This window comes from Homo sapiens, chromosome 2, assembly GCF_000001405.40.
Source record: "Homo sapiens chromosome 2, GRCh38.p14 Primary Assembly".
Lineage (NCBI taxonomy): Eukaryota > Metazoa > Chordata > Mammalia > Primates > Hominidae > Homo > Homo sapiens.
Genome location: NC_000002.12, coordinates 19,514,826 through 19,524,579, shown reverse-complemented (window position 1 = coordinate 19,524,579; position 9,754 = coordinate 19,514,826). Strand labels below are relative to the sequence as shown.

The window sequence follows — 9,754 nt, the reverse complement described above, 5'->3', positions numbered from 1 at the left end:
CACAGGGTGACAAAAGAAGCAATGGATCCTGTGCCCATGGACCTTATAGTCTAGGAGGGGAGAGAAGCTTGAATCAAAAGGATACATATTCAAATATAAAACCATCACTGTGATAAATATAAAGGGAAAAGTATAAAGTGCTATGAGGGTATTAAAAGGAGGGACCCAACCCACCTGAGTGCCAGGAAGGCTGCCTGAGAAAGTGATGTTTGAGGTGAGATTGGAAGAGTTCGGATGCGTCAGCTCAGAAGAGAACTCCAAGCAGAAGCAATTACTCAAGCAAAGGCTGTTGCAGGAGAAAGCAAGTGCCCTGAAGAACTGAAAGAACTTGTGAGGCATGACATTAGAGTAAGAGGTAAGGTGATCCTGCTGAGGCTGGAAAGGTAGGCAGGGTCTGAACCATTAAAGGCTTTGTGGCTTGAATAAGAATTCTGGTCTTTAGCTCAAGAACAATGGGAAAACAGAAAGGATTTGAAAGCTTGCTATGAAGCATAGTTTGGAGGGGTAAGAGTGAATGTGCGACACCTGTTAGGAGGCTAGTGCTATAGTCAAAAGAGGCCAAGATTGTAGCTAAGACTAAGGCATGGCAGACAATGAAGACAAGTGGACAGATGGAGAAGTTGGTAAGGACTGACAAACCTTGTCACCAGATTAGATATTTATGTAATTGTGGGCTGCATCAACAATGACTCCTAGATTTTGGCTTGCACAGTTGAATAGGTGAGGGTGCCATTTACTCAGATAAGGAATTCTGGAAGAGAAACAGGTAAAGAAAAATCACCAGTTCCTCTTGCACATGTTGATACAGCGGTGCCTTTGTAGCATCTATGTGGAGACACAGAATGGGCAGTTGGATAAATGGGACAAACGCTCAGAGGAAAGGTCAGGGCTGCACATGTGGAGTTGATAGTCATTGCTACACAACTGGTAACTGAAGCCATGGACATGAATGAAATTGAATGAAGGGAAGGGGGATATTCCTGCTGATGGTCTTTCTCTGCCTTAACTACCAAGCTATGGGTTCCCAGCAACACCTTGATAGCTGCCTTCTCAGGACCCCGAGAATGTTTTTCACTCAGTCTTGTCAGGTTTCTTGCCAAATTACACAGGAGTGTGTGTGTGTATGTGAGTGTGTGTGTGTATATGCATGTGTGTGTGTGTTTGTGGGTGTGTCTTTATGTGTGTATATAGGTAAAGTCTGTCCTATAGATCTAGAATTGAAAAGTCACCCTAGACTGAGTTTTGATTTCATTTTCTAACACTCCTGTCTGCGAAGATTTTCAAAATGGAGAAAGTAGAGTAGCTTTTCCTGGGGTATAACTTGTTTCCTTTACCTTTGACTTTTTACAAAGCTCACACCTTCTTCCTTCAAGGTTCCCTACTGCTTGGGACTTTAAAAACAGTCTGATCTTGTTTCACATTTCCTCATAGTTTCACCACCCACAAACAACTGGATAGCTGTACTTTTTCTTTTTCCAGCAAGGTTTACTAGGAGTTGAACACCTACTCTTTATTTTCCCACCTGCCTTGGCATATGATTCTGATTCCCAGAATGAGCCTATTGGTTACAACACAACGTGGTTCTGGCACTCCATCCCCACAGGTGCCCAAACATTCTGGTCCTTTGAGAGGGCACTATCAGGGGTCTGGATCTTTCAATAGAATTGTATGGCTGGATTTTCATTGACTTTTGCTTCCTTGATTTGGTTTGTGTTGATGGGGAACACATTTTAAAAACGCTTTTCTCATCATAGTCCTCAGGCAGCCTTCCTGACTTCTCTAAATGTCTCAGAGAAAAGGTAGTTTTGCAGTGGCCAGAATGTGGACTTTGGAAAGGTGAGGGTTTCTGTTTGTGGCTGGTAATTAGCTTATCCTCTGCTATGATTCTAGGGTCTGCTTTTACTGTCTCTCATCTTGCAGTTCTAGATTGGAAAAAAATATATTTTACTTTGAATTTGGTTACCAACCAAGATAGGGTGAGTGCCTAGTATCTGCTGGGCTCATACCCTGGGGATACCAAGATGAGAAGGAAAGACGTGGTCCATGCCCTCGAGATGCACATTTGTGTAGTAGAGAAGACAGGAAGAAGACAGGAAGAAAGTGACTGACTCTAAGGTGATGTCATGACAAAGATGATAAGGATGCAACTAACCTGAAGAGAATAAAACATTCCACTGGTCATTTAAAAGTTATATGCTTTTCATTTTTACTTTTGTTTTTTTTAATTCAACTTTCATGTTGGATACAGGAGGTTCATGTGCAAGCATATTACATGGGTATATTTCACTCAGGTAGTGAACGTAGTACCCAATAGGTAGATTTTTCAACCCACAAATGCCTCCTTCTCTCCCCACTCTGGTATAATGGTCTTCAGTGTTTATTGTTTCCATCTTTATGTCCATGCATCTCAATATTTAGCTCCCACTTATAAAGGAGAACATACGGTATTTGGTTTTCTGTTCCTGTATTAATTTGCTTAGAATAATGGCCTCCAGCTGCATCCATGTCACTGCAGATGATGTGATTTCATTATTTTTTATGGCTATGTAGTATTCTACGGTGTGTATGTACCACATTTTCTTTATCCAATCCATTACTGATGGGCATCTAGGTTGATTCCATGTCTTTCCTATGGTGAATAGTGTGGTGATGAACACATAACTGCATGTGTCTTTTTGGTATAATAATCTATTTTCCTTTGGGTATACACACAGTAACGGAACTACTGGGTCTAATGGTAGCTCTGTTTTAAGTTCTTTGAGAAATCTCCAAACTGCTTTCCATAGTGGCTGAACTAATTTACATTCCCACCTGTGGGGTATAAGCATTCCCTTTTCTCCACAGCCTTGCCAGCATCTGTTGTTTTCTGACTTCAATAATAGCAATTCTGCTACTGAAAAAAAAATAAATAAAACAAAAACAATAGCCATACTGACTGGTGTGAGATGATATCTCATTGTGGTTTTGATTTGCATTTCTCTAATGATTAGTAGTAATGATCATTTTTTGATGTATTTGCTGGCCACTTATATGTCTCATTTTGAAAACTGTTCATGTCCTTTGTCCATTTTTTAATGGGGTTATTTGTCTTTTTCTTGTTGATTTAAGTTCCTTATAGATCCTGGATATTGGACCTTTGTTGGATGCATAGCTTGTGAATATTTTCTCTCATTCTTTATGTTGTATGTTTACTCTATTGATAGTTTATTTTGCTGTGCAGAAGCTCTTTAGTTCAAGTAAGTCCCACATCGATTTTTGATTTTGTTGCAATTGCTTTTGGAGACTTAGCCAAAATCCGTTGCCAAGGCTGATGTTGAGAAGGGTATTTCCTAGGTTTTCTTCTAGGATTTTTATAGTTTGAGGTCTTACATTTAAACCTTTAGAATTATTTTTTTATATGGTGAAAGGTAAAGGTCCAGCTTCATTCTTTTGCAAATGGCTAGCCAGTTACACCAGGACCATTTATTGACTAGGGAGTCATTTCCCCATTGCTTGTTTTTGTGGGCTTTGTCGAAGATCAGATGGCTGTGAGTGTGCTGCTTTACTTTTGAGTTTTCTATTCTGATCCGTTGGTCTATGTCTCTGCTTTTGTGCCAGTACCATGCTGTGTTGGTTATTATAGTTTGAAGTCAGGTGGTGTGATGCCTCCAGCTTTGGTCTTTTTGCTTAAGATTGCTTTGGCTGTTAGGGTTCTTTTTATGCTCCGTATGAATTTTAGACTAATTTTTTCTAATTCTATGAAGAATGACATTGGTAATTTGATAAGAGTAGCATTGAATCTATACATTGTTTTGGGTGGTATGGTCATTTTAATGATATTGATTCTTCCAATTCAAAAGGTATATATTTGAGGAACTGAGATTGGTTAGCCTACACAAAACAGCATTCACAGTTTATCCATTTGTGAAAGAACACATAAGGGAGGGAGGTAACAGATAGAAAGTCTGTATTATTTCAGAGAAGATAAGTAGGCCATAGAAGTTACAGGGGGTTAAATATGGCACTCTAGAAGAAATAAGCATCCCAAGAACTTGAGACATCTGATATGGAAATGAGCTGCTTCAGGACAGTGAACTCACAATGACAGCAGTGTGCAAACAGATATTGGATTACTGCCTGTCAAGATTGTCATAGAAGATACTGATTTGTGTGAAATACTGGACTAGGTCAGAGACTTTCAATTTATTTTCAAGTAGTGTAATTTTTTCAAATGATCTCTTACATGAAAGCATAAAATTTAAAATATGTATGTGTAAAAGGAAGACTGTTTGGTTGTACCCTACCTTATTGGTCTCCTCAACTCCCCCATCCCCTGCAATGACTGCCCCCACCCATGACATTTCCTCAGAATTCCAAGGACTTGAACAATGCCCCTCCCCCAACACACTGTTTAATATCTAAGGCCTATGATTCCTTTTGCTTCCAGGATTCCATGATTATTCTATATAGGAAGTTTTCATGTTTAAAATGAATCATTAGCTATGTTTCTTTTATTTTCATTTCTTTTTGCTTTAATCTCCAAACATTATGGAATTTCACAAATTAGGTTCAGGAATGTTTAGCCCAGAGTTTAGTTTAGGTCTGTTGAAACATAGATTTTGACCAGTTAAGATACAGAAATGATTTTTCTTCCAAAGGATGAATGTTTGCAGTCTAGTAATATATGTTTTAGACACAAACTACTTGAAATCAGATTGTTTGAGAATGAGGAAGTACAGCATTAAGTAACCAGCTCCAAAAACTTTGATCAACTTGTGTTTAGCATGTTATGGAATTATGTGTTTCTTTCAACTTTGCCTGGCCATAGAAGATCTTTTGAAGCTCACATGTAGGCAGTTAATCTTAACTGGGTTCATTGATTTATAACAGGGAGAAAAATGCTCTTGTGAATCCAAATAACTTACACTTGAAAAAGGTTAAGTCAAGTGATTTTGTCCATAAGCCACTAATAAAATTAAAGAGACGTCAAACAGATGCCTTGCGGGGGGGCGGCGGTGGGGGGTCACTGGTCTGCAGGTGCGAAAACTTGAGTTAAGCCGTTAATCAGCTTCAGAGACTTAACACGCTAACCTAAAAAAAAGATGGATACATCAAGCATACAATTTATTAATTAGCATGAAGAAAAAGATGGCGGATTTGATTTGAAAAATGAGACTTTTTAATCAGCTTTCTCGTGTATATGTTCTCTTAGTAGACCAAATTGCATCAATTTACAAAAGAGAGACATTGACAAGTATGTTCATTGCTGCCTTAGTTTTGGTGGCTGGGAGCAGAAGGCGTTCTGGTTGTGCATAGCTTGAAGAATATGTAGATAAAATATGGTGGGTGTGTTCACCTTGTAATATTATGAGTAACCTCTTAGGAGCAATGTGCTAGCTGCCACATAGCAACATGGATGCATTGAAAGACATATGATTAATTTTAAAAGGAAACAGTGAAATGTAACACAATACCATTTACATAAATTAAAAATAAACATAAAACAGAAGAATCACATTTTGTCAAAGCACATACAAACACATTAGAATGGTTGTGTATACAGGGAATACAGGCAGAATAGGAGCTGTGAAACGGGAATAAAAGTGAATGATGGCAATAATCAAACAATTAGCTATTGTACAGTATAAAACTAGTAGTATGTAACAGAAATGTACACAGTAAAGTTTTGAAATGAAGAAGACTGACATAACTGTGAGAATGAGAGAAGACTTCTTAGTGGAGGAAAGGCTTGAGCTGGCATAGAACAATAAGAAAAATTTGGAGAACTTAAATAATTCAGTGTAGCTGTCATGGGAGATGAGGTGAATGCTACAAGCCAGGTAGAGATCACAGACTGTCTGGTACTCCATGTGAGCAACTTGTGTTTTATCCCAGAGGCAATGGAACAAATGGAAGTTTCAAGAAGAGGAAAAGTAAGAATGGAGTAATACATAGACCACTCAAGAGGCAGGGTAGAGGCCACATTTGAAGAAATAAAACTGAAAGAGAGAAATCAGTTGGGATATTTAAAAGGAAGAGGATGCCTGTAATTAAGGAAGTAACAATGAAGATGGATGCTGGGGAAAGATGTGGGAAGTATTGAGGAGATAATGTTGATTGGACTTTGTGACTGATTAGATATTGAGAGGTGAGAAAAAAATTTTAGGATGGCCCCCAGTTTTCTGGCTTGGATGATTGGATGCTTAGTAGTGTTGTTAAACAACAGAGGGAACACAGGAGAAGGTTTAGGAGAAGACCTAGTTCAGTTTAGCATATGTTGAATCTGAAGCACTTGTGGGACCAAACAGCGATGTCTAATTGGTAATTGAATCTAGTTATCAGGAGAGTGGTCTGAGATAGGGATAGAAGTCTGTGAATTGCGGCAGGGAAAGAAGTGTTTTCCCTATTCCAAGCACCCGGTGTAAAGATAAAAAGGAAGGGAAAAAAGAACGAAGCACTGTGGAGAGTACAAAGGAATGGGTAGGGGAAAGAAGGGGCAAAGGAACGTATTTAGGGAATAATAGAAGAATGAGAGCAAGGGAAGAAGAAATCTGGAAAACAGAAGGAAAACTAGGAGAAGGCAATGTCCTGGAGATCTAGGGAGTTAAACTCTTGACGAACGTGGAGGAAAGGCTTTCTGCTACTCCGCATATCCAACCGTCAGCCTACCCTGCTAACAACTTCCCTGAAACTTGTGTCTCTGTGGTTCTCCATTGCCATCTTCATCTTCCGAGCCCAAACCACCAACTCTCTACTGTGACAGCCACTTAACTGTTCTCTTGCTTCTATTCTAATCTTAAATTACAACCAGAAGACCCTAGTTAAAACAAATTATATCATGCCACTTATCTGCTTATAAACTTTTAATCACCTCCCCTTATAAGCAGGGAAAAAAATCTATATTCTATCATGACCTACAAGAACCTCCCAAATCTGTCATCCATGAGATGATCTCTCTCTAACCCATCTCATGACACTTCCTTCTTTAGTCTCCATTGTCCTTTGTTCTCTTCCTAAGATGCAGCAACCTCTTTGCTTGCTCTTTCCTTTCCCCAAATGTTAGCATGGCTTTTCCATTCTTATTTTTCATGACTCTATTCAAATATCATATGCTCAGAGTAATCTTCCCTGACCACTCTATCCCTCCACTACTCTGTCTTCATCACCCTATTGCTTTATATTTTATTTCCTTGATATCACGTATCATAATAGGAATAAGACAGTCCTTGCCTTGTGCCAAACGCTGTGTTAAGTGCTATTTCATGTATTAACTCAATCATCTCAGTGATACTATCATGTAGGTACCTGTATCCATCTGGGTTCTTTCAGGAAAATGAAGCTACTATGGGAAAATGGAATTAATATAGGAGTTTTATGTGGGAGGATCTGGAGAAGTGAAGATTTGGAGGCAGTGGCAGAAGCAGTGGAGAGCAGGGAGAAATCCACTGATCGTGGGCATATCAGGGAAAAGTCTTAATCACAAAGTGAGAGCTTGTAGAGAGATCTGGAATCCTGTTGTGTCTGACTGCCATGAACTTCTGAGAACAGGCCTTTGATTTCCTTCTGTCTTCTAAATTCACATGAGTTTCTTGTAATGGGAAATTCTAGTATGGAACTATCCAGAGAAGGGGGTTCTGGGAAGTCAGTTCTCAGCCTTAAAAGGGCCTGGTGGTAATGGCGCAAAGCCAACAACAGACAACTAACAATAGTATTGTTATCTCCATTTCTAAGCAGAAGAAATTAAGGGAAAAAAAAATCATGCAGTTTTCACAAGGTCACATAACAAGTAAGGTGAAGAGTGGGATTCAAACCTAGCCATCCTGGCTGCTGGAACTTGCTCTCACCAGTGTGTCATATGCCTTCAGTGTATACATTCTGTGACAACCAGGACCTATTTATCTTATCCCGAACACCTCCTATGGTACTTAATACATAGTAGGCACTCAGCAAAATCCATTAAAAAATACAGGAATGAAAACTCAGAGGTAATTGATGAGGTTATTAATTACTCAGCGTAACCAATGCCACTGTAGTGACTGAGAAAACATCAGCTCAAAATGGGTTAAAAAGTGAATGGAGGATTAAGATGGCATATATGAGGCAGAACTAGCTTGCAGCTCCTGCTCGCATGGACAGAGAAGTATGTGAAGACTCACACTGTGAACTTTTGCTCCAAGAACTACCACAGGAACATACCAGGAAAGCCAAGAGAATCCACAGACCCTTTGAAGAAACTGGATCACCACTGCAGACTTCAGTGAAATAGATAGCATAAATAAAAAACAATCACAACTTCTGGAAATCAAGGATACACTTAGAGAAATGCAAAATGCACTGGAAAGTATCAGTGATAGAATTGAACTAGTGGAAGAAAGAACTTCAGAGCTTGAAGACAAGGCTTTTGAATTAACCCAATCTGTCAAAGACAATGAAAAAAGCATGAAAAAAAAAATGAACAAAGCCTTCAAGAAGTCTGGAATTATGTTAAACGTCCAAACCTAAGAATAATTGGTATCCCTGAGGAAGAAGAGAAATCTAAGTTTAGAAAACATATTTGAGGGAATAATTGAGGAAAACTTCCTGGCTTTGCTAGAGATCTAGACATCCAAATACAAGAAGCTCAAAGAACACCTGGGAAACTTATCACAAAAAGATCATCACCTAGGCACATAGTCATCAAGTTACTTAAAGTCAAGACAAAGGAAAGAGTCTTAAGAACTATGAGGCAAAAGCATCAGGTAATCTATAAAGGAAATCTGCTGTCAGATTAACAGCAGATTTCTCAGCAGAAACCCTACAAGCTAGAAGTGATTAGGTACCTATTTTTAGCCTCCTTAAATAAAATAATTATCAGCCAAGAACTTTGTATCCAGTGAAACTAAGCTTCATAAATGAAGGAAAGATACAGTCTTTTTCAGACAAAAAAATTCTGAGAGAATTCACCACTACCAAGCCAGTACTGTAAGAACTGCTAAAAGGAGCTCCAAATCTTGAAATAAATCCTTGAAATACATCAAAATAGAACATCCTTAAAGCATAAATCTCACAGGATCTATATGAAAATAACACAATGAAAAAAAATGTATTCAGGCCACAAATAGCATGATGGATAGAATAGTACTTCACATTTCAATGCTAATATTGAATGTAAATGGCCTAAATGCTCCACTTAAAAGATACAGAATGGCAGAATGGATAAAAATTCACCAGCCAAGTTTCTGTTGTCTTCAGGAGACTCACCTAAAATATAAGGACTAACATTCACTTAAGGTAAAGGGGTGGAAAAAGCTATTCTATGCAAATGAACATGAAAAGTGAGTTGTAGCTATTCTTATACCAGATAAAACAAACTTTAAAGCAACAGCAGTTAAAAAAGACAAAGGGGGACACTATGCAATAATAAAAGAACTAGTCAAACAGGAAAATATTATAATTATATATATATGCACCTAACACTGAAGCTCCCAAATTTATAAAACAATTACTACTAGACCTAAAAAAAATGAGATAGATGGCAACACAATAATAGTGGGGGACTTCAATACTCCACTGACAGCACTAAACAGGTCATCAAGACAGAAAGTCAGCAAAAAAAAAAATGGACTTAAACTATACCCTACAACAAATGGACTTAACAGATATTTACAGAACATTCTACCAAACAACTGAAGAATATACATTCTATTCATTAGCACATGGAATGTCCTCCAACACAGACCATATGATAGGCCACAGAATGAGTCTCAGTAAATTTAAGAAAATCAAAATTATGGCC

General features: G+C 38.3%; 1 long non-coding RNA gene across 1 annotated transcript in view; it reads right to left on the bottom strand.

Moving 5' to 3' along the window:
- Positions 1-3,376: 3,376 nt before the first annotated feature.
- Positions 3,377-9,754, bottom strand: part of LINC01808 (long intergenic non-protein coding RNA 1808) — a 52,275-nt gene continuing 45,897 nt past the window's right edge. Inside the window, exon 6 of the long non-coding RNA NR_183418.1 lies at positions 3,377-5,070. This is a non-coding gene — a long non-coding RNA (long intergenic non-protein coding RNA 1808). The remainder of the gene's footprint in view (positions 5,071-9,754) is intronic.